Raw genomic sequence first — 23,744 nt, forward strand, 5'->3', positions numbered from 1 at the left:
TTAGCCCTTTGCGGGCTCCCGGCACTGCGAACCCGACAACGGGGCTCGCGGAGCAGAGAGCGAGGGCGCCCAGACCCGAAAAAGGGCCAAGTTAGAGGAACAGGCACAGACTTGGGCTATGGGAGGCCGCAAGGGGGCGAGGGGAGAAGCCCGAGGTCGCGGTCCGGGGGTGGGCAGTGGGGGGAGGGGTGCGGGGTCAGTTCCCGTGGTCGCCGCGACCTCTCCCGGGCCACAGGCCCCGCTCCGCGCAGGCCCCGCCGCCCCGGAACCGGGGCAGGAAGCGTCCCCACCCGGACCAAAGCTTTAAACCTCCGGCGGCGGGAGAAACGAGCCCCGGCTCCCGCAGCAGGCCCGGCACCCCCCTGCCCCAAACACCCCTTACCTCCTGGTTGAAGGCGTTGACGGCGTCCATGTTCGCGCTGCGGCGGCGGCTGCTCCGGGCCCGCCGGTCACATAGACCTCGCGCCGCGGCGGAGCGGGGCTGGGAAACCAGCCGGGCCTGGTGGCCGGGGGGAGGCGACGAGCGGCGGAGTCCGAGGCCCGGGCAGGAAGAGGCTGCGCCCGAAGCGGCGAGGCGGGCGGCCGAGGCAGAGGCGGAGAGGTGGCGGGCCCCCTCTCAGTCCCGTTCGCAGGATGAGGAAAAGGAGGCGGCGGCAGCGCTGGTCTTCAACATGTCCGTTTGGTGGTGGCGGCTGCGCTCTGCGTCTCGCTGACACGGCCCCCCGCGCCCTCACGCACTGGCTCACACTGGCCCGGCCGGCGAGCGGGCGGGCCTCTCTCTCCCTCTCTCCAGCGGGATGGCGGCAGCGGCCCGAGTCCACGCCGCGCGGGGCACCCTGGGACGGCTCAGGCCTCCCGGCGCTTCCTGTGCCCGGCGTTCGCCCCGCCCCGTCGCGCTGGCCCCGCCCCCTCCCCGCCTCGTCCCGCCCTGCGCCGCCCTGCACCGCCCCGCGTGCAGGGCTGCTGGCGCGTGACGCCGGGACGCTGGGCGCTTTCCCGCCGGCGGCGGCGGCGGCCGCGGCCGCGGGCCGGGGAGACGGCCTTGCAGAGCGCGGGATCCCAGGGCTGCGAGGGTGACCCAGAGCAAGCCCTGGCGCACGCGCGCTCCGCTCGACGCGGTGCTCCCGGGGTGCGTCTCTGCGAAACGCTCGGCCCTAACCGGCCCTGCACCCGGCGGGGGCGGCGGGCACTGAGCCGCTGGCTCTCGGCTGCCGCGAACAAAGGGCGCAGGATTTAACCTCGGCTCTCTGGGCGTGCCTTTGCAGGCCCTCGTGCGCTCTGCTGGGGAAAAGAAAAAAAGCTTCTGCCAATGCCAGTGCAGCTGTGTGTCCGCTGTAGTTGTGCAGGTTAATTCTGCGCGAGCGAAAACACCGAGAAAGACGTTCAGGCACTGGATATCCACGCAGGCCTTAAGGAACCCCTGTGCAGCCTTGTGCCACGAGAGGAGTGGATTCACTAACTTTCACGCTGATTCCTCAAACCAAGTTGTTTCATTTTTGGCCAAAACTCTTTATGTTGATCACTTTCCTTGAGTACCTACTGTCTGCCTAGTGTTGGAGACATGGAAATAAACGATAATTGTTTTGCCTGAAAACAGCACAGTTTAGTGGAGAGGACAGACAACTGAGCAGATACTTACCAAAGCATGCTTAGTGTTAGGGCACAGGCCCTGGGAAACGAGAAAGATGCGCCTCCGACAGGAAGTCCAGGCTACATCTGGAGGGAGGAGAGGCCTGCAGAGCCTGATGAGGACTGCCACCATCACCTCCCCCGAAGGAGGACCAGCTGGAGCTGAGGAGCAAGGTGGACTGAGAGAGGAGAGTGAGACCATAAAGAGGCTTTGCTCTTCCAGAGTTTGGATTTTGCCCCCATAAGGCAGAGGGGAGCCCTTGAAAGGGGAAGGTGGAGTGATGGATGCAGTGTTCTCTCAGAAGGATGGTGCAAAGTAGTAAGAGGAGACAGGGAAAGAATGACCCCAGCCCCCTGGGAAAATGAGGGCTGAAGGTGGTGGCGATAGAGAAGGAAGAACAGATGTTTAGGAAGTGGAGTGGAAGGGCTGAGGCAGAGTAACTGTGAGGTTAATAAAGGGGGTGTCAAGGAGGATGCCCACAGCCTGACTTGATGAATGACCTGGGTGGTGGGTTTATGAGTCAACGTAGGGGATTTATGGGGAAGAAGGCGTGGGTTTGAGGGAAGACAGAATGATGGTTAACACTTGTCGCTTACCATGTGCCAACGTCTGCTGACATGCTATTCTGTACTCTCCGTAACAGGCTTCTGGGTGAGGTGTCCATTAGTAATGCCCTCATTTTATAATTCAGGGAGTGAGTTAATTAATGTGCCCAAGGTCACACAGCTGGATCATTTCCCTTTGGTGCCTGTGGAGTTTGAGCTGCGCCTGGGACAAGTAAGTGAGGATGTCTAGGAGGCAGTTGGGTAAACACTTGCAGAGTCAGGAGCGATGGCTGAGATGATAGAAATCTGGGAGTCATTAGTGCACAGCTAGTGGTGGAAGGAGCTGAAATAGATAGGGGGAAAAAGCCCAGGAACACGGGTATGTAAGGGATAAGTTGGAGGCAAGAAGAGGTGAAGAGAGAGCTCTGAAGTGATCAGCTCTGTCTGGTGCTTGGAGTAGAAGTCCAGCAAGATAAGAATTGGAAAGTGCCTGACGGGTGCTACATGCAGGGAGCTTGTCCTGCGTGTAGGCTGGCGTGGTGAGGGCAAAAGCTAGACTGATGTGTATCAAAGAGGGGAAGGCAGGCAGGAGAAAGTTTATAGAAACTTGGCTGTGAAGGCAAGTTGTGAAGACAACAGAAAAAACCTGCAGGAGGAAGTGAGAGTGTTTGCTTGTGTGTTGTTTTGTTTTGAGATGAGAGTAATGTACTCTTTTTTAAAATTATTTTATTTTATTATTATTATACTTTAAGTTTTAGGGTACATGTGCACAATGTGCAGGTTTGTTACATATGTATACATGTGCCATGTTGGTGTGCTGCACCCATTAACTCGTCATTTAGCATTACGTATATCTCCAAATGCTATCCCTCCCCCAGAGTAATGTACTCTTAATTACTTGTTAAAGGAACAAAGAAAGTAGTTTTCAAATTTTATTTTCGGGTCCACTCATCTTCTACTTCATTACCACTTCCTATCACTACTTTTTAATCTTCCAACTGAACTACCATTATATTTTCCAAATCCATCTTGTTTCTGTAACAGCTGTCATCCGCAAGACCACTAACATTGCATTAGAAAGTACAGACATGAGGCTCGCGCGGTGGCTCATGCCTGTAATCCCAGAATTTTTGGAGGCTGAGGCAGGCAGATCACTTGAGGTCAGGAGTTCGAGACCAGCCTCGCCAAAATGGTGAAACCTGGTCTCTACCAAAAATATAAAAAATTAACCAGGTGTGGTGGCACGTGCCTGTAATCCCAGCTACTCTGGAGGCTGAGGCAGGAGAATCGCTTGAACCCGGGAGGCAGAGGTTGCAGTGAGCCGACATCATGCCACTGCACTTTAGCCTGGGCAAGAGAGCAAGACTCCATCTCAAAAAAAAAAAAAAAAGTACAGATGTGAGTAGATCTCTGTTTCCTACCCTTTGGCATTTGGCATTTGGCATTTCTGGAGATCTACTGTCTACCAAATTCTGTCCAAGATCCCCACACCATGTTTCCAGCCTGTTGCCAGGGCACAACCCAGGTTTTGTCATTCCCTGGACACATCTGGGAATTGACATGGCTGGGCCTTTGCTCTCATAGAAAACCCCTCTCTGCTCCTCTATATAGGCAGGCCCATTTAACATCTAGTTGATATTGAGATGTCACTGCCTTTTCATTCATTAATCATGTATTGAGCATGTACTTTGTGCCAGGCACTGTGCGGAAAAGCTTCCCCACTCTCCTTTCAGCCAGTCTTGGCATCTTCCACCATATGCTTCTATGACTCCACCATAGCACCTCTTACCTTGTATTGCTGTTATCTGAAAAAAAAAAAAAAAAAAAAAAAAAAAAAAAAAAAAAAAAAGTCTGCATTATTCTGACATGATGTGCCCCCGCTGTATCTCTACCTGTTTCTGTGAAGAGTGGCAGAACTTAAAAATGGGTCCACAAAGCCAAATGAGATCCCCCTTCCCCAATTCATACAGTCTGCTTTCCTCTTGTGAGTCAGGGAAATAGATCTGGCTAAGGAAGGATGAAGTCTTAAGCTGGGGTTGGAAAGGGGGACTTGGGAGGAGAGTAGTGAGTTGAGCTTTGGACAGGTTGCCTTGGGACTCGGTGCTTTACAGCTATTGGGGCCTATAATGGTTGTTGAATGAGGAAGTGATAGTCCAAAGGGGGTATTTTCTGTGTACCATCCTACTGAGATTTGAATGCACAAGAAACAAGATTTGGCTTCTAAGATCCATGTGCTTGAGATAGTTAACGGATTTTGGAGGTTCTTTCCTGGATAGGATTATTTGGTTTTTATGTTGACAGTGTTTGAGAGGTCTTTTAGCAAGTAGTTGGTATCAGCTAGACTTTGGGTGCCTTGGCAGCATTTTCTAGCATTTTCCTGTTCTGAAGACAGCAGCACCTGTATCTGTTCTGGAACATCTGGTGGCCATTTGCACAGCTACTGCTGGACTTCCATCTTTATCTCTCCAGGCAGACGAGTCGAACCTTCCAATAGGAAATTTTGGGTAAATGACAAAAACTTATGAGGGTTGTCCTTTGTGAGCAGACTTTGAAGCAGTAGGAATGTAGCCTATTGAAAAGATGGCCAGAGGTTCAGAAATAAGCGTGACGGATAAAAATCAGCAAGACATTTAATACATCTGCAAACTTGCCTTCTTTCAAAGAACATTGATTGAAACAGATTCGTTTGTTCATAATGTGGGTGTGAAAATAGTTCTGAAAAGCCATTCTAAACAAACTTATGTTTTTAAAAAGAGTAGATGAAATCTGTTTGCGGAGGAAGGAAAAGATGACATTCAGGAAGCAATGTTCTGGTTAATTCTGTGTTCTTCAAAAGCCAGCTCATTTTCTTGAAAAGAATGCTGGCCACAATCCACAGGTATAGAGAATATGGAGAGAAAGCATCTCACGCCTGAAGAGTCCAATAAAACATTTATAGATAAGAATTTAAGAGAATATGGGTTCTTTCTGTTTTTTGTTTGTTTGTTTGTTTGTTTTTGAGACAGGGTCTTGCTCTGTCGCCCAGGCTGGAATGCACTGGTGTGATCATGGCTCACTGCAGCCTCGACCTCCTGGGCTCATACGATCCTTCCACATCAGCCTCCCAAATAGCTGAGACTACAGGTACAAGCCTCCATGCCCAGCTAATCTCCCTGTGTTGCCCAGGCTGGTCTTGAACTCCTGGGCTCAGGCAATTCTTCCATCTCAGCCTCGCAGAGTTCTAGGATTACAGGCATGAGCCACCAAACCTGGCCTAATTTTAAATTTGTTTGTGGACAGGGTCTTCCTATGTTGTCCAGGCTGGTCTTCAACTCCTGTTCTTAAGCAATCCTCCTGCCTCGGCCTCCCAAAGTGTTGGGAATATGGGTGGGAATATGAGCCACTGCACCCAGCCTTGAAAATGAGTTCTTTCTAATGCTTTATGCCATATACTTTCTGGAGAGAGTATAAACTGGCTGTATTATATGAGACTTCTTTCTCCTTGGTCTGCTTTCCTTCTCTGGCCAGCCTCCTGGATTCAAGTCATTTGTCAGATATGTGTATCGTAAATACTTCCTCCCAGTCTGTGGCTTACCTTTTCATTATCTTGCCTCCTCCTCTCTCTGAAGCTTTCCCTGACACCTCTGTGATTCTTCTTCCTCCCCACTTAGGGATGTGACTGAACTCTCTCCTGGTTTAGAACTGCATTTCAACTGCCCACTGGGGAATTCCACATGGGGATCCCTCCATCCCCAAGGGACCCACCTGACTCCTTTTGTGCATCTTCTGTCTTCATGCCCTTTATGTTGTTGGGGCCAAAACAATGGAATGAAATGTGTGGAAAGCAGGAACTCCAAGAAGGAAGAGCTCAACGGCAGTTGGGCAATGGGATTTTAGGGAATTTTCATTTTCTTTTTAATTTTTCAGCATTTTTCATACTCCTCACAGAAGGCATGTATCACTTTTTTTTTTTTTTTTGAGAAGGAGTCTCACTCTGTTGCCCAGGCTGGAGTGCAGTGGGGTGATCTCGGCTCACTGCAACCTCCACCTCCTGGTTTCAAGCGATTCTCCTGCCTCAGCCTCCTGAGCAGCTGAGATTATAGGCATCCGCCATCGTGCCTGGCTGGTTTTTTTTTTTTTTTTTTGTATTTTTAGTAGAGATGCGGTTTTGCCATGTTGGTCAGGCTGGTCTCGAACTCCTGACCTCAGGTGATCCGCCCTCCTTGGCCTCTCAATGTACTGGGATTACAGGCATGAGCCACCACACCAGGCCAGTTTTATTGTCAGAAAGAGTAAGCTCCTTAAAAAAGTAAACATACAAGTAAGTATGCAGCAAACCTAAAATGTTCTGGATGTCATCTTAGCTATGATTGCAACAGTGAGCATATGAGTAACTAATAAAGGAAAACAATTTCTCTTCATCACTTCCTATCTTACTTAGGATTAGGAATCCAAGATTCTCTTTCCAAAATGGAAAGTATTAAAAACCAGTCTCATCTGAAGTGAAATGTCACCTTTTAGGACTAGGCCACGCCAGTCCAACATTTGCTGTTTCATTCATTCAGAAAATAAATGTGTACATCTCTTGTGGACAGGCACTGTGCTAGGTGTGTGGAATACTGTGATAAGCCCAAACACAGATAAGTTCCTTCCTCGAGGAACTATTCCTCCAGAGTCTGGCACCTTGCCCTGATGTTGAGTATTTTCCATGTGTATATTGGCCATATGTATACTTTCTTTTCCTTTTTTTTTTGAGATGGGGTCTTGCTCTGTCACCCAGGCTGGAGTGCAGTGGCTGGATCTCGGCTCACTGCAACCTCCGCCTCCCAGATTCCAGTGATTCTCCTGCCTCAGCCTCCCGAATAGCTGGGATTACAGGCACATGCCACCATGCCCACCTTATTTTTGTATTTTTAGTAGAGACAGAGTTTCACCATGTTGGCCAGGCTGGTCTTGAACTCCTGACCTTGTGATCCCCCCACCTCGGCCTCCCAAAGTGCTGGGATTACAGGCGTGAGCCACCGCACCCGGCCATGTATACTTTCTTTAGTAAAGTGTTCAAATCGTTTGCCCTTTAAAAAAACGGATCATTTGGAAGCTTCAATAGGAAGCTATTGAATGATATGAGTCCTTTGTCAGATATGTGTGTTGTAAACATTTCCTCACAGTCTGTGGCTTTCCTTTTCATTTTCTTTTGAAAAGCAGATGTTTTTAATTTTGATGGATATAATTTATACTTTTTTCTTTTATGGTTTGTGCTTTTCTGTCATATTGAAAAATTTTTGCTTATCCCCAGGATATGGAAATGTTCTCCTCTATTTTCTTCTTGACTCTTTATAGCTTAGCACTTTTGTTTAAGTCTGTGATCCATTTTGATTTAATATATGTGTATGAGATAAGATAAATATCAAGCTTCATTTTTTTACATTAGGATATCTAGTTGTTCCAGCACTATTTGTTGGAAAAAAAGATCATTTCCCCCATTGAATTACTTTGCCTCCTTTGTTGAAAATCAGTTGACCACATATGTGTGGATCTAGTTCCACGTATGTGTACTCTGTTCCTTTATATATATCTATATACTTTTCTTGCATATACATAGCCCACTGTCTTAATTTCTCTAGTAATTCAAGTAAATCAGTTAAAGTCTCCAACATAGTTCTTTTAAAAATTGTTTTCACTATGCTGTAATCTTTGCATTTCTATATAAATTTTTAAATCAACTTGTTAATTTCAAAAAAAAAAAAACACCCCACACAACTGAAAACAAGACAAAATAGGAAGTATGCTGGCTAGGCGTGGTGGCTCACGCCTGTAATCCCAGCACTCTGGGAGGCCGAGGTGGGCGGATCACGAGGTCAGGAGTTTGAGACCAGCCTGGCCAACGTGGTGAACCCCCGTCTCTATTAAAGATACAAAAAATTAGCTGGTCATGGTGGCGCTCGCCTGTGCACCTGTAATCCCAGCTACTTGGGAGGCTGGGGCAGGAGAATTGCTTGAACCTGGGAGGCAGAGGTTGCAGGGAGCCGAGATCACGCCATTGCACTCCAGCCTGGGCAACAGGGTGAGACTCCGTCTCAAAAAACAAAACAACAACAACAACAACAAAAATCACAAATGGGTGTTAATGTTGTCAGATACCATGGCTATATTCATTGGGATGATTATGTGATTTTGTCTATTCTATTATATTAATGAATTACTGTGATTGGTTTTTGAATGTGAAACCAACCTGGCATTCCTATAATAAAATCCACTTGGTTATGGGATATTACTTTTTTTATATGTTGCCGGGTTCAATTTGCAAAGATTCTGTCTGTCAAAATATTTCCTTCTATATTCATGAGTGGTATTGGTGGTCTCTGTTTTCCTTTTCTTGTAATGGTTTTGGTGTCGGGGTAGCTTGCTCTCATCAAATTATTTGATAAGTGCTTCTCTCCTTCCCTGTTATCTATTTTTTTTTTTTTTTTTTTTAGATAGCGTTTTGCTCTTGTCACCCGGCTGGAGGGCAGTGGTGCGATCTTGGCTCACTGCAACCTCCTGGGTTCAAGCGATTCTCCTGCCTCAGCCTCTCAAGTAGCTGGGATTACAGGCAGCTGCCACCATGCCCAGCTAATTTTTGTATTTTTACTAGAGATGGGGTTTCACCATGTTGGCCAGGCTGGTCTCGAACTCCTGACCTCAGGTGATCCACCTGCCTCGGCCTCCCAAAGTGCTGGGATTACAGGTGTGAACCACCACACCCGACCTCCTTCTCTATTTTCTAAAATAGCCTGTGTGGAATTGATATTATTTCTTTCTTAAGATTTGTTAGAATTCACCAATGAAGCCACTTGGGCCTAAAGTTTTGCTTATGAGAGGGTTTTATATTAATCAATTTTTAAAATTGATATAGTGTTCTTCAGGTCTTCTGTTTCTCGAGGGAGTTTTGATCATTTGTATTTTTTTCAGAAAATTGTCCATTTAAAGGTTGTCAATTTATTGCATAAAGTTTTTCCATGATATTCTGTTATTACCCTTTTAATGTCTGTAGTGATATTTCCTCTTTCATTTCTGATATTGATAATTTCTATCTTCTTTTTTTTCTTTTCTTGTTGAGTGAGGTTAGAGATTCATCTATTTTGTTGTTCCAAAAACCAAAGAAACAGTTTTTGGTTTCATTGATTAGCTCTATTGTTTGTGGACTTTCTAGTTCATTGATTTTCACTCTTATTTCCTTTCTTCTGCTTCCTTTATATTTAATTTGCTCTTTTCAAGTTTTTTTTTTTTTTTTTTTTTTGAGACAATGTCTCACTCTGTCGCCCAGGCTGGAGTGCAGTGGGGTGATCTTGGCTCACCACAACCTCTGCCTCCCGGGTTCAAGCAATTTTCCTGCCTCAACCTCCTGAGTAGCTGGGACTACAGGTGTGCGCCACCATGCCTGGCTAATTTTTGTATTTTTAGTAGAGACGGGGTTTCACCATTTTGGCCAGGCTAGTCTTGAACTCCTGACCTTGTGATCTGCCCACCTCGGCCTCCCTAAGTGCTTGGATTACAGGGGTGAGCCACTGTGTCCGGCCTCTTTTCCGGTTTCTTAAAGTGGAGGCCTAGATCATTGATTTTAGCCTTTTTTTTTTTTTTTGAGATGGAGTCTCGCTCTGCCACCCAGGCTGGAGTGCAGTGGCACCATCTCGGCTCACTGCAACCTCCACCTCCCTAGTTCAAGCAATTCTCCTGTTGCAGCTTCCTGAGTAGCTGGGATTACAGGCACATACCACCATGCCCGGCTAATTTTTTTTTATGTTTAGTAGAGATGGGGTTTCATCATGTTGGCCAGACTGGTCTCGAACTCTTGACCTCAGGCGTGAGCCAACACGCCCAGCCGAGCCTTTTTTTTTTTTTTTTTTTTTGTATTGTAAGCATTTAAAACTTTAAATTTACTTCTCAAATTTTGGAGTGTTGTATTTCTTAAATATTTAGTTCAAAATATTTTGTAATTTCCCTTGGGAGTTTTTCTTTTCCCTAAGTTCTTATTTATGAAAGTATTGTTTAAATTCCAAATAGTTGGGAATTTCTGTTATCTTTCTGTGATTGATTATACTAATCGAATTCCATTATAGTCACATATCATACTTCATATGATTTCAGTTTTTTTTTAATTATTGTGACTTGTTTTGTGGCTCAATTCATGGTCTACCTAGATGATTGCTCCATGTGCACTTTAAAATAATATATATTCCGCTCTTGTTAGGTAGGATAATAATATATATTCCGCTCTTGTTAGGTAGGATAATAATATATATTCCGCTCTTGTTAGGTAGGATAATAATATATATTCCGCTCTTGTTAGGTTCTGTTAACGTCTCTTGGATCAAGTTGGTTGATGGTATTATTTAAGTCTTCTAGATTTCTATTCTTTTTCTACCTGCTTATTATGTCAATTAGAGAGGAGATTTGATGTCTCCTGATGTGATTGTGCATGTATTTATTTCTCCTTTCAATAGCTTTGTGTATTTTTTTCTTTGTTTGGTTGGTTTTTGAGATGGAGTCTCCCTTTGTTGCCCAGGCTGGAGTGCATTGGTGTGATCTTGCCTCACTGCAGCCTCCGCCTCCCGGGTTCAATCGATTCTCCTGCCTCAGCCTCCTGAGTAGCTGGGATTACAGGCATGTGCCACCATGCCCCGCTAATTTTTGTATTTTTGGTAGAGACAGGATTTCACCATGTTGACCAGGGTGGTCTCAAACTCCTGACCTCAAGTGGTCTGCCCACCTCAGCCTTCCAAAGTGTTGGGATTACAGGTGTGAGCCACTGCGTCTGGCTGACTCATGTATATTGAAGCTTTGTTACTAGGTACGTAAAAATTTAGCATTATTATTTCTCCTTGATGAATAGACTCCTTATCAATTGGAAAATTTTCTCTTTTTTCTGGTAACATTCCTTGCCCTGAATTCTCTTTTACCTGATATTGAAAAGCCACTTTGGCTTTCTTGTGGTTAATACTTGCTTGGTATATTTTTTTTCCATCCTTTTGCCTTTAATCTATCTGTGTCTTTATTTTTAAAGTGGATTTTTTTGTGGACAGCATATAGTTGGGCCTTGCATTTCAGTCCATTCTGACATGTCTGACTTAACTGAATTGTTTAGACCATTCACATTTAATGTAGTTGTCAATAGGGTTGAGTTTCATTCTACCATTTTGCTGTCTGTTTTCGGTTTGTCCTGTCTGCTCTACTATTTTTCTCTTCATTTGGCTTTTTTTGGCATAGTTGAGTATTTTATTAGTATTTTATTTGAACTCTACTAGTTAACTTACTATGTGCACCTCTTTTTCTTTAGTGGTTGATCTAAGGTTTACAATATGCATCTTTTTTTTTTTTTTTTTTTTTGAGACGGAGTGTTGCTCTGTGGCCCAGGCTGGAGTGCAGTGGCGCTATCTCAGCTGAGTGCAAGCTCCGCCTCCCAGGTTCATGCCATTCTCCTGCCTCAGCCTCCTGAGTAGCTGGGACTACAGGTGCCTGCCACCATGCCTGGCTAATTTTTTGTAATTTTAGTAGAGACGGGGTTTCACCATGTTAGCCAGGATGGTCTCGATCTCCTGACATTCTGATCCACCTGCCTCGGCCTCCCAAAGTGCTGGGATTACAGGCGTGAGCCACCGCACCTGGCCTACAATATGCATCTTTAAGTTATTACAGTCCACTTTCAAATAAACTTATGCTACTCGACATATAATGTGTGATTCTTATTATATGCCTCTATTTCCTCTCCAATCCTGTGCTTATTGTTGTTTTATATTTTATTTCTACATGTATATTTTATAAGCCTACAATACATTAATATTGTTTTTTCTTTAGTCATTATTTTGAAAACAAGAAAATACTTTTTGTATTTTCCCACATATTTAACATTTTCAGTACTCTTCATTCCTGTGTATAGATCCAAGTTTCCATCTGTTGTCAATTTTCTTTTTCATAGGGAAGTTTCTTTCATATTTGTTTTAGGCCAGGCACAGCGCTTGCGTCTATAATCCCAGCACTTTGGGAGGCCGAGGTGGGTGGATCACTAGAGGTCAGTAGTTCAAGACCACCCTGGTCAACATGCCAAAACCCTGTCTCTACTAAAAATATAAAAATTTGGCTGGGTGAGGTGGCTCACACCTGTAATCCCAGCTACTCAAGAGGCTGAGGCAGGAGAATTGCTTGAACCCAGGAGGGGGAGGTTGCAGTGAGCCGAGATCACGCCACTGCACTCCAGCCTGGGCAACAGAGCAAGACTCCGTCTCAAAAAAAAAAAAAATTTTTGTTTTAGTGCACATCTGCTGTCAGTGAAACCTCTCTGTTCTTGTTGATCTGAAAAAGTCTATATTTTACCTGAAATTCTGAAAGGGATTTTCTGTGGGTATAGAATTCTACATTTACAGGGTTTGCCCCTTACCTAGCACTTGAAAATGTGTCATTCCATTGTTTTCTGGCTTGCATAGTTTCTCATGAGAAATCTGTGAGATAATTCTTATATTTGTAAATAATTGCCTTTTGTCCAATGTCTGAAAATTGTTATTTCCTGTATATTTTCCAGTTTTCTGGTTTGTTTCTTTTTTATGGTGAAATGGTAATTCTGTACCGTTACTACCTCATGATGAGAGACAGAAGTTCCATACTTAGAGCCTTTTTGTGTTCTAAGAATTCTTTGCCTGTCCTAAGATCATGAGGATATCCTCTGTGTTTCTTTTAAAAGCTTTACAGTTTTAGTGCACAGATTTTAGGTCCATGGCCTATCTCAAGTAAATTTTTTTGTATGTGCGTGAGACAGGAATAAAGGTTCATTTTTTAAAAAGTTATTTCATCATCCTTTATTGAAAAGCTTTCTTCCCTCCATTGAACTGCATTGGAACTTCTGTCTAAAATTAAGTGGCTACATATGTGTGGGCCTATTTCTGACCTCATTATTCTGTTCCTTTCATCACCAGTACCACACTGTCTTGATTGCTGTAACTTTATAGTAAGTTTTGAAATTAGGAAGTCTTCCAACTTTGCTCTTCTTTGAGGTTATCTTGTCACAAGGACCCAAGTGGCAGTAATTTTTAAAGCTCCTCAGGTGATTCCAATGTGAAGCCAAGGTTAAGAAGTACCGTCTTAGGGGCTGAGGAGTCCTAGGCTGGTCCCGCTGGGTTTGTGGTTTTGTGGTTTTGTGTTTTCAACGCATTTCCTTCAGGACAGTATGTTTATAGTCTGTTTGCTTCTGAATAATTTCATGTGTAAGTAACCACATCCAAGGGCTTTGTGGAGAAATGGCCTTTAAGCCTAAGAACTCTTGGCTCCAAGCTGCTGATCATTGTGCCCTGTCCCGTCCCCTCTCCCATAGGTTCAGTGGCTATTGCATGAGATAATTTGATAGAAAAGAGTTACATGGGGAACACTGCCCTTAGTCACCTCTTTGGTGTCTAAGTGCCCAAACTCCCCTGCTTAGACAGTCACTTTCCTGCGTCCCCTTGTATTAGCTTCAACTGAAGTAGAGGAAAAATTGCCTTTATTAACCCTGCCAGGCTTAAAATTATGGGACTCTCTGTTAAATTGGATTGGAGAAGAACTTCACATTTAGTAAAACTGATTTTCCCCCCACTCACCTCTCAAACCAGGTGTCTCTAAGTTAAGATCTCCTCTTGGCCGGGTGCGGTGGCTCACACCTATAATCCCAGCGCTTTGGGAGGCCGAGGCGGGTGGATCACAACGTCAGGAGATCGAGACCATGCTGGCTAACATGGTGAAACCCCGTCTCTACTAAAAATACAAAAAATTAGCCGGGCGTGGTGGCGGGTGCCTGTAGTCCCAGCTACTCGGGAGGCTGAGGCAGGAGAATGGCATGAACCCGGGAGGCGGAGCTTGCAGTGAGCCGAGATCGCACTACTGCACTTTAGCCTGGGCAACAGAGCAAAACTCTGTCTCAAAAAAAAAAAAAAATTCTCCTCTCTTGGTAAGTTAGGGTATAAGATAAGCTGCTGAAACAAAGGGACCCCCCACCCCCTAACACAAATATGTGTTTTAAAAAGTTTATTTCTCTCTCAGGTAATGCTCAAGAAGTGAGCAGTCCAGAGCTGGTGAGGTGATTCTGCCATCCCCAACATGTGAACTCCAGGGTGACTTTGCCATTTGTCATGATTTTCTAGCCACAGGATGGAGAAAGAGGAAGTAGAAGGCCTGCAGTTTCCATTTTAGGATGTTACATACTTCATGTTCACTCATATCCCATTGGTCAGAGCTTGGTCACAGGGCCATGCAAGGTGCAGGGGAGGCTGGGAAAGGTATTTTTGGACCGGATGACCATGTATCTTGCTGAATCTCAGAAAACTTCTATTATTAAAGGTACTAAAGTCTGAATGGATATGGGAGGAAAATCATTAATCTTCACCATGGCTGTCTTTTGCCAAGAGCCCAATAAGGTTTGGCTGTGTCCCCACCCAAATCTCATCTTGAATTGTAGCTCCTATAATTCCCACGTACTGTGGAAGGGACCTGGTGGGAGATAATTGGATCCTGGGGGCAGGTCTTTCCCGTGCTATTCTTGTGATAGTGAATAAGTCTCACAAGATTTGATAGTTTTGTAAAGGGGAGTTTCCCTGCACAAGCTCTCTTCTCTTGTCTGCTGCCATGTGAGATGTGCCTTTCACCTTCTGCCATGATTGTGAGGCCTCCTTAGCTACGTAGAACTGTGAGTCCATTAAACCTCTTTCTCTTGTAAATTGCCCAGTCTCGGGTATGTCTTTATCAGCAGTATGAAAACAGACTAATACAGAGCTATAACAATGAATAAAAAAATCAACATTCTGAAATTTCATACCATTCCTCCCAATAGCACAGCATGTAGAGTTGGCCACATTTTACCTAAATCTTTTGCCATCACCAAATTACTGACCTGGAATAATTTAATCTTACTGCCTTCTATCCTACCTCTTCTGCTCAGCCAATTAATATTTTAGAGTCTATTTCTCATAGCAAACCACTTCAAAACATAAAATTCTGTCTCAAGTAGGAATGCTTATGGCTGCAAGTAATGACAACCTGATCAATAGCTTAAAAAGGGGTTTATTTTTCTCATTACATAAAAAGTCTAGAGTAGTGGTTTCTGGCATTGGTTCCAATGCTGCAGCCGAGGACTAAGACTCTTTCTTTCATTCTGCTTGACTTTTCTTAACATGTTGGCTTTTTGACTTCTTCTTTGTTATTTTGTGCTTGCAAGATGATTGCTATGGTTCCAGCCATCACATCTATTTCTTTTTTTTTTTTTTTGAGATGGAGTTTTGCTCTTGTTGCCCAGGCTGGAGTGCAAGGGCATGATCTCAGCTTACCGCAACCTCCACCTCCTGGGTTCAAGTGATTCTCCTGCTTCAGTCCCCCTAGTAGCTGGGATTACAGACATGCGCCACCATGCCCAGCTAATTTTTTTTTTTTTTTTTTTTTTTAGTAGAGATAGGGTTTCTCCATGTTGGTCAGGCTGGTCTTAAACTCCCAACCTCAGGTGGTCCACCCGCCTTGGCCTCCCAAAGTGCTGGGATTACAGGCGTGAGCCACCGTGCCCGGCCCATCGTATCTATTTCAAAGTGTGAATCAGGAGAGAGGGTGGTATCTGCTGCGTCTGCTCCTTACTTACGTAAAGAAAGGAGGTTATTCCACCAAGATCATGCCATTGCATTGCAGCCTGGGCAACAGAGCGAGACTCTGTCTCAAAAAAACTAAACTAAACTAAAATAATAAAAATTTAAAAATTAGAAAAGAGGCTATTCCAGAAATGTCTCCCCACAGGTCTCCTTACCTCCTTATTGACCAGAAATGAGCCATGTGCTCATTCCTAAACCAATGGAAAGAAGAAAGGGATTGGATGAACACCAGTCAGGATTCATCTGCTAGGGCTAGAATATGAGCAACTTTCCTTTAGAACAAGGGATCTTTGCCTTCTATCTGAACAAGTAAGTTCTATTAGCAAGGGAGAACAGGGAAGAAGGAAGCTAAGGTATGGCTAATGAGTGAGAACAAAGACTAACGGCCACACAGACAGGACACTGTGAGTGTGAGTGTGGGCTGTGTGATTGTGTAAGCACGCAGGAAGTATGGAAGGATGTATACTTGGTTGTCAGCACATGCCACATCACAGTGGGAAAGGGGGCATGGATACAGGTGAAGGTGGGAGGGGAAGCAAACAAAACTGAAAAGAAAAAGTGGCCTAAAAATATGGCGATCACGTTTATGCATTTATGTCCAATTGTGTACTTATGTGAATATCTAAATAAATTTGAAAAATGTTTAAAATAATCCTGATCCCATCCTAAATACAGGTAGTTTTTTGCATTATGTCAGCACCCTGGCTGAGCCCCTGCATTCAAGCAAAAAAACTAAATCAATGAATGATGAGTACATGAATAAATGAATAAGTCCATAGCAGCCACAGTAGATATCCCATTGTCCACGGATTAAGATCGTTCATGCCACCAGCTAGAGGGACAGCCACTCTGCACTCACTCCCTAGCATAGTTATCTAGTGCAATTCTAACATCTTGAATCTTCTTCTTTTTGTTTTAAAGTCCCAGCATATGAAAAGTAGAAAAATAGTTAAGGAGGCTACTAGAGATAGGGAAACTGACAGCAACTAGAGGTAACAGCTGACATGTTGACAGTGAAGAAGACAGCCATCTATAGGAAGCAGACACAAGAACACACAAAGAACATACACAAGAACACACACGATCTATAGACAGCAATCTATAGGAAGCAGACGAAAGAACACACAAAGACAACACTGTCAGGCCATTTTGTTTAGGAGGAACTTGTTCCAGGCACCTCCATAACCCCCGGTGGCACTGGTTTTACAGCAAGTCACAACAAGGCTGCTATACACATCAGGCCCCAGTGAATGAGGAATGGGAGAGTATGCGCCACATTCTCTGTTTAAGAAGGCAAGGCGGTGTGTGATAGAACAGAGGACAAGGGCTATGCCCAGTTCATCCTTGTGACTTTCAAGGCACAACTTTCAGCTCTCAGCTGGATGCCACATCTGGACTCCGCAGCCTTCTCAAGCTCAGCACATTTTAAACTCTTCCTGCGTCATTTCCAACTGAGGTGCCAAGTTGTCATTGGCTACCAAAGCTATAGGCAAATCCATGTATTGAGATTTTCAAGGGCAATGTCTGAAAAAGTGTTTCTCAGCAATTCCTCATCCTTCCCTACTTGGAGATAATAAACATGATCAGGGTGCAGAGAGAGAGAATTTGGGATAAGGAGATTGGTAGTGAGAGTTTTGGGGGAAAGGAGTTGACCGTTTCAGGCTTCTAACCCCCCTCTATTTGGGGTGAGAGGCCAGCAAGCTTTTGTCCTGTGAGCCAAATCTGGTCATAGCCTATTTGCACAAATAAATTTTAATTGGCACACTGCCACGATAATTTGTTTGAGTATTGTCTCTGGCTGTTTTCTTTTTCTTTTCTTTCCTTTTTTTTTTTTTTTTTTTTTGAGACAGGGTCTCGCTCTGTCACCCACACTGGAGTGCAGTGGCTTGATCTCAGCTCACTGCAACCTCCACCTTCCAGGCTCAGGTGATTCTCGTGCCTCAGCCTCTGGAATAGCTGGGATAACAGCCATGTGCCACCATGCTTGGCTAATTTTTGTATTTTTAGTAGAGACAGGGTTTCGCCATGTTGGCCAGGCTGGTCCCAAGTGATTCGCCCTCCTTGTCCTCCTGAAGTGCTGGCATTACTGCCATGAGCCACCACGCCTGGCCTCTCGCTGTTTTCAAGTATCAGTGGGAAGCTTGTGACAGAGGCTGAAGCCCATAAAGCCTAAAATATTTGCTGCCTGGCTCTTTCCAGAAAAAGTTTGCCATCCCTGATTGTAACCTCATGCCTCATGAGGAAGACCACAGGGGTCCCCAGGAGAGTTTTAAGATATGTCCCTGCTAGGTGGGCAACATAAAGGATGAGTACCTAGACTGTATCTAAGGCGGCCATGGGCTAGGCTCTGACTCTCCCAAGGGGGAGAGAAGGGTGAAGACCTGCTTTGGTGGCATACCCCGTGCTATGACACTGGGATAGGAGGTGACGCTGAGTGTTTCCCAAGGACCACACTCAGGATTGAGTGGGAGAGAGAGCAGCCACCTGGAGACCTCAGCAGATAGAGGCTGGAGTGGATCAACTCCTGCCCAGGGATTAAAGACATCACAAGAGACCACCCAGAATAGGTGCATTCTTTGCAGTCAAAGGAAGTGGGGGAGAAAAGGTTGCAGAAAAGAATCTCTAGGCTGGGCACGGTGGCTCACGCCTGTAATCCCAGCACTTTGGGGGGCTGAGGCGGGTGGATCACCTGAGGTCAGGAGTTCGAGACCAGCCTGACCAACATGGTGAAACCCGGTCTCTACCAAAAATACCAGAATTAGCCAGGCGTGGTGGCACGTGCCTGTAATCCCAGCTACTTGGGAGGCTGAGGCAGGAGGATCACTCAAACGCGGGAGGCAGAGGTTGCAGTGAGCAAAGATTGCACCATTGCACTCCAGCCTGGGCAACAGAATGAAACTGTGTCTCAAAAAAAAAAAAAGAAGAAGAAGAAGAAGAAAAAAGAAATCTCTAAAGAGCTCACCAAAGTGAGAGAGAGCCTCCTCTAACCATCTGCCTGCCCTGAGACAGCATGAAGCCAGCCGCCAAGTTGGAGCTGGGCTAGACCCTTCCTTCTCCCTACCCACTGCTTCTGATGCACCTGGTGGGACTGCACCCACAACTGGCAAGTTTGGGGGACACATGAGTAAGGGAAGAGGAGGACCAGAAGGCCGTGTTACCTTCCCCGCTGCAGTCTTCCAGCCAAACAGTGAGGGAGATTTAACACTGTCATGTTTGGGATTCTGACATTCTTCTCTTTTTTGAGAGAGAGAGACAGGGTCTTACTCTGTTGCCCAGGCTGTAGTGCAGTGGCCTGATACTAGCAGCTCACTACAGCGTCAATCTCCTGGGCTCAAGCGATGCTGCCTCCTCAGCCTCCCAAGTAGCTAGGACTGCAGGCATGCGCCACCACACCCAGCTAATTTTTTCTTTTCTTTTCTTTTCGTTTTTTTTTTTTTTTTTTGAGACAAAGTCTCACTCTGTCGCCCAGTCTGGAGTGCAGTGGCGCGATCTTGGCTCACTGCAACCTCTGCTTCCCGGGTTCAAGCGATTCTTCTGCCTCATCCTCCCGAGAGCTGGGACTACAGGCGCGTGCCACCAAGCCTGGCTAATTTTTGTATTTTTAGTAGAGATGGGTTTCCCCATATTGGTCAGGCTGGTCTTGAACTCCTGACCTCGTGATCTGCCCTCCTCAGCCTCCCAAAGTGCCGGGATTACAGGCATGAGCCACCGTGCCCGGCCAATTTTTTCTTTTTTTGTAGAGACAGGGTCTTTCTGTGTTGTCCAGGCTTGGTCTCAAACTCCTGGCCTCAAGAGATCCTCCAGCCTCAGTCTCCTGAAGTGATGGGATTATAGGCATGAACCACCACACCCAACCCATTCTAACATTCTAACTACTAAATTGAAACTGTTTGTGACCTAATATGACTCATCTGTTCCAAGGAATGAGTGGAAAAGGTTTGGGACCTGCCAGAGTTTCCCAGCTCATGAGAAGGCCACCTCCACTAGGGAGAGCTTAGGGGGATGATAGGAACACACTGAAGTAAGGTTTGGTTTCTGGCATGACTCATGCTTGTTCAACATGCTGGATCCAATAACATATAGAATGAGTGTCCCTAATCCCCAAATCCAAAATATGAAATGCTCCAAAATGTACTAGTTTTTGAGAACTGATGTGACATCACAAGTGCAAAATTTCTCATTTGACCTCATGTGAAGGGGTGGCAGGCAAAACACAGTCGAAACTCTGTTTCATGCACAAAATTGTTTAAAATATTGTATAAAATTTCCTTCAGGCTGCGTGCATAAGGTGTATATGAAACATAAATGGCCAGGGGTGGTGGCTCACGCCTATAATCCCAGCACTTTAGGAGGCCGAGGTGGGTGGGTCACCTGAGGTCAGGAGTTTGAGACCAGCCTGGCCAACATGGCAAAACTCCGTCTCTACTAAAAATGCAAAAATTCGCCAGGCGTGGTGGCACATGCCTGTAATCCCAGCTACTTGAGAGGCTGAGGCACAAGAATCGCTTGAACCCAGGATGGGGAGGTTGTAGTGAGCCGAGATTGCGCCACTGCACTCCAGAGTGCACTGCAACAGAGTGAGACTCTGTCTCAAAAAAAAAAAAAAAAGCAAACAAACAAACAAAAAACCGTAAATGAAACAAACAAAAAACCGTAAATGAATTTTGTGTTTAGACTTGAGTTTCAACCCCAAGGTATGTATGTGCAAATATTCCAAAAAGTGAAAACATCTGAAATCTGAGACATTTCTGGTCCCAGGTATTTCACACAAGAGATATTCAACCTGTATTATTAAGCACATGCTGGACATCATGCTAAGCCCTTTTCATGCATTACACATGAAACCTCCCAACCAGCCTTTACTGTTAAGCCAATTTCACAGAAGAGGAACCGAAGCAAAGGAAAGATAGGCTATGGTCTAGAGGAAGCTTGTCCAACGCACAGCCTGTAGGCTGCATGTGGCCCAGGACAGCTTTGAATGCAGCCCAACACAAATTTGCAAACTTTCTTAAAACATTATGAGTTTTTTGTTTGTTTTTTGTTCCTGTTTTAGCTCATTAGCTATCATTAGTGTTAGCGTGTTTTATGTGTGGCCCAAGACATTCTTCTTCCCATGTAGCCCAGGGGAACCAAAAGATTGGACAACCTTGGTCTAGAGCCTCATTATTAAGTGGTGGAGATGAGATTCGAACCCAGGCAACCCAGGACCAGCCTGAGTTCTCAATCGCTATGTCATGCTGACTGGAAGCACAGCAACCCAAGCCTTGGTTCTCAAAAGGTTTGTTATTGGCTGAGAGGTCTTGACTTCCCCTAGAATCCCAGGGTTGCTGACTTTGTTTCTCCCGTCAGAGCCTGCCACAGACTCCTTATTGGATCCGAGTTGGCCAGAGACCCTTCAGACCTCATTGAATCAGCTGGGTCACAAGTGCCAAGTTGCTCGCAGTGCAGCCTGGACCGGCTCTGGAACTTCTCATTGTCAAAGCTAAGAGTCAATTGAGTCACCCACTGAGTCAGATGGCATACTCAAATGTATTGCACAAGTCTAAAATCCTGTGTAGGCCCACAAACATTGCACCTGAGTCCTAGTGATAGGGCATACCAGGCACAGCAACTTGCTTTTCATTTTGGAGAAAGAGCCCTAGTCCCCCAGATCATTGAACACCTTCCCCCACCTCTGCTCCAAATCCACTGTCCCAAATCTTCTGTAGCTTTGGGAGATTTCTCTTCTACCCATTGTTGTGAATTTTTTTACCCAGGCATCCTTGGTGTCTGCTACTTCAGCTCCCTAGATTCTATCAACTTGATGTCCCTTGAGATGGTTCAGGTTCCCACAGACCAAACTTAAGCCCAGCACCAGAGAGGTAACAATACTGAGGTAAGTAAGGAAAAGATGTACTATTGTCCTTGCCAGGTACAACAAACAAATGAACGAACAAATGAATGAACAACTAACCTGCTTCTGCTTCTAGTGTGTGTCATAATAGAGAAATATTTGGCAAATCCACGGATGCATACCAAGTGCCAGAGTCTCTGTATATCTGTTTTGGTCAAATGAAGCCACCTGGAACAGCACATGTAACTGATTAAGTTTATGATAATGCACTGTCATTCCCCAAGCCCCATCTGGTTTTCTTCACTAGTCAAACTAGAGAGTTAAAAGGGAATGTGATAGCAATCATCACCTCTGGATCTTTCATGTCTATTAATCTCTGAAATTCTCCGAGGGATATGGTATCACTTGTGATGTGCCATTTTGTACATGAAGAGCCCTTTGAGTTTACACTTGGCCATTTGAGCCAATGTGGGGATTTGCTATTGGTACATGTATATGTTCCACTTATACCCCTATGAGCCAGGGAAATAAAGACAGATTTGGGGACTCTTTGGGCCTAGTGACAAACTTAAAACTTAGTTTCTTACCTAACTCACCATAAATCCCTTCTCTGACTGGTGGGCAACAGTGGTATTCCAGGTCCATAGGAATTAGCATTAGTAATGGATGCAGTTTTCAATAATCCTTCAAAGATCTAGGTTTTCTGTTTCTCTAGTACACATTTGCCTTGATTAATGGTGGCAGTGATTTTGGGGGCAGATGAGGATGAAGATTTACAGCAGAGATGTCCAATCTTTTGACTTCCTTGGGTCACGTTGGAAGAAGAAGAATTGTCTTGGGCCATGCATAAAATACACTTAACACTAACAATAGCTGATGAGCTAAAAAAAAAAAAAAACATATATATATATATATATATCATAATGTTTTAAGAAAGTTTAAGAATTTGTGTTGGGCAGCATTCAAGGCCAACCTGGGCCACATGGGGCCCACTGGTCTCAGGTTGCAAAGGCTTAATTTAGAGTATGTATCTGTGATCTTATTGTAACATTCTTCATCAAGAATACCTGGTCTGTTTTCATTCAAGAGCCTCTGGGTCTGTGATACAATTCAGGTCTTGAATTGAGAATGTCTATCCCAGAGGCTCGATCCATGCCTCTTGTTAATCAGGTCTGAGTGGGCTCCTTAATGCTCTTGGTCCTAGAAATTCCTTGGTCAATTAGCATGGTGAAAGACCCCTGCTAGGCAGAGCAGTTGGATTCTATTCTGGCCCTACTTCCTTGTGCACTAGGGGGTGGTTTGGGGATAGGCTGGGGAAATAAATACTGATTTGTATTTGCTATCTGGAGGTGGTTTGGGGATGGTGGTGGTTTCTAGTTAGCCAAGTGTAGGTCACTTATCCATAGCCTTGCAACAGAAGAGCCTGGGGAGTTGTGAAACAGGGATTTTCAGTTTCAACTGCCGGAAATAGTCTGCCTTTCAGCAGAATTTATAATCTGGGGAAATAAATTCAGATTTTCATTGTAAACATAGGAAGAAGGTTCAGAGGTTGCTCAGCCAAAAATGATGACAAATGCTTTTCCACAATTCATCTCACCTTCTTCTGTCATTTAACAACTGTAAGGTTTAGAAGATTAATCTCAGCTTCAAACGTAGTTCATGTTTTATTCAAACCAAGTTGAATAATGCAATTCTCTTTGCCAGTGACTTATTCAGAAAATCAGACCTAAGCTAGTTAGGCACATGGCATGCCTCTGACCTCGGGGGTTGGTTCAGGAGCTCAGGAGTAGGCATCTGACACACTTTGGTCTAATGAGATGCAAGATGACATGTTCTGGGAGATTCTGGGGAAAAGTTTCTCATGTTCCAGAGAGCCAGAGAAAGACAATAGTATCTTCTGTACTTGATCCCTGCAGGCATCTTGATAGCAACATGGAGCTCCTGCAGGACAGCGGGCAGAGCTAAGAGAATCCTAGAGGAACTGAGCTGGATCTGCTGGGGTTTATTTATGTATTATTTTATTTTATTTTTTTAGAGACAGGGTCTCACTCTGCCCAGGCTGGAGTGTAGTGGAGCAATCGTAGCTCACTGCAGCCCCAAACTCCTGGGCTCAAGCGACCCTCTGG

The 23,744-nt window shown here is 45.1% G+C and overlaps 1 protein-coding gene and 1 long non-coding RNA gene across 10 annotated transcripts in view, besides 9 other annotated features; one reads left to right on the plus strand and one right to left on the minus strand.

Moving 5' to 3' along the window:
• Positions 1–838, minus strand: part of SCAF4 (SR-related CTD associated factor 4) — a 61,119-nt gene extending 60,281 nt beyond the window's left edge. For all 9 annotated transcript variants that reach the window (NM_001145444.1, XM_047440932.1, XM_047440931.1 and 6 more), the window contains exon 1: positions 383–838. In NM_001145444.1, coding sequence (NP_001138916.1) covers positions 383–412 — 30 coding nt within the window. In that variant the 5' untranslated portion in view covers positions 413–838. The remainder of the gene's footprint in view (positions 1–382) is intronic.
• Positions 82–541: a silencer, noted in NCBI's record as "silent region_13243". NCBI's record gives its function as "represses an Ori minimal core promoter by ATAC-STARR-seq in GM12878 lymphoblastoid cells {active_cell/tissue: GM12878}" and the evidence as "EXISTENCE:reporter gene assay evidence [ECO:0000049][PMID:35858748]".
• Positions 542–1,183: an enhancer, noted in NCBI's record as "H3K27ac hESC enhancer chr21:33104135-33104776 (GRCh37/hg19 assembly coordinates)". NCBI's record gives its function as "activates a minimal SCP1, AML or CMV promoter by ChIP-STARR-seq in naive and primed H9 embryonic stem cells {active_cell/tissue: H9 hESC(naive and primed)}" and the evidence as "EXISTENCE:reporter gene assay evidence [ECO:0000049][PMID:30033119]".
• Positions 542–1,191: a biological region, named in NCBI's record as "H3K27ac hESC enhancer GRCh37_chr21:33104135-33104776".
• Positions 552–1,191: a silencer, noted in NCBI's record as "silent region_13244". NCBI's record gives its function as "represses an Ori minimal core promoter by ATAC-STARR-seq in GM12878 lymphoblastoid cells {active_cell/tissue: GM12878}" and the evidence as "EXISTENCE:reporter gene assay evidence [ECO:0000049][PMID:35858748]".
• Positions 991–14,508, plus strand: LOC124905008 (uncharacterized). Its single transcript, XR_007067842.1, has 2 exons — positions 991–1,803; positions 14,197–14,508. It is a non-coding gene; the product is annotated as an uncharacterized LOC124905008 (long non-coding RNA).
• Positions 1,184–1,823: an enhancer, noted in NCBI's record as "H3K27ac hESC enhancer chr21:33104777-33105416 (GRCh37/hg19 assembly coordinates)". NCBI's record gives its function as "activates a minimal SCP1, AML or CMV promoter by ChIP-STARR-seq in naive and primed H9 embryonic stem cells {active_cell/tissue: H9 hESC(naive and primed)}" and the evidence as "EXISTENCE:reporter gene assay evidence [ECO:0000049][PMID:30033119]".
• Positions 1,332–1,391: an enhancer, noted in NCBI's record as "active region_18356". NCBI's record gives its function as "activates an Ori minimal core promoter by ATAC-STARR-seq in GM12878 lymphoblastoid cells {active_cell/tissue: GM12878}" and the evidence as "EXISTENCE:reporter gene assay evidence [ECO:0000049][PMID:35858748]".
• Positions 3,306–3,481: a silencer, noted in NCBI's record as "fragment chr21:33106899-33107074 (GRCh37/hg19 assembly coordinates)". NCBI's record gives its function as "represses an EF-1alpha promoter that drives an FKBP-Casp9 reporter gene in an ReSE screen in K562 erythroleukemia cells {active_cell/tissue: K562}" and the evidence as "EXISTENCE:reporter gene assay evidence [ECO:0000049][PMID:32094911]".
• Positions 15,670–15,921: a silencer, noted in NCBI's record as "fragment chr21:33119263-33119514 (GRCh37/hg19 assembly coordinates)". NCBI's record gives its function as "represses an EF-1alpha promoter that drives an FKBP-Casp9 reporter gene in an ReSE screen in K562 erythroleukemia cells {active_cell/tissue: K562}" and the evidence as "EXISTENCE:reporter gene assay evidence [ECO:0000049][PMID:32094911]".
• Positions 22,546–23,138: an enhancer, noted in NCBI's record as "OCT4-NANOG hESC enhancer chr21:33126139-33126731 (GRCh37/hg19 assembly coordinates)". NCBI's record gives its function as "activates a minimal SCP1, AML or CMV promoter by ChIP-STARR-seq in naive H9 embryonic stem cells {active_cell/tissue: H9 hESC(naive)}" and the evidence as "EXISTENCE:reporter gene assay evidence [ECO:0000049][PMID:30033119]".

The sequence above is a fragment of the Homo sapiens genome, chromosome 21 (assembly GCF_000001405.40).
Source record: "Homo sapiens chromosome 21, GRCh38.p14 Primary Assembly".
Classification (NCBI taxonomy): Eukaryota; Metazoa; Chordata; class Mammalia; order Primates; family Hominidae; genus Homo; species Homo sapiens.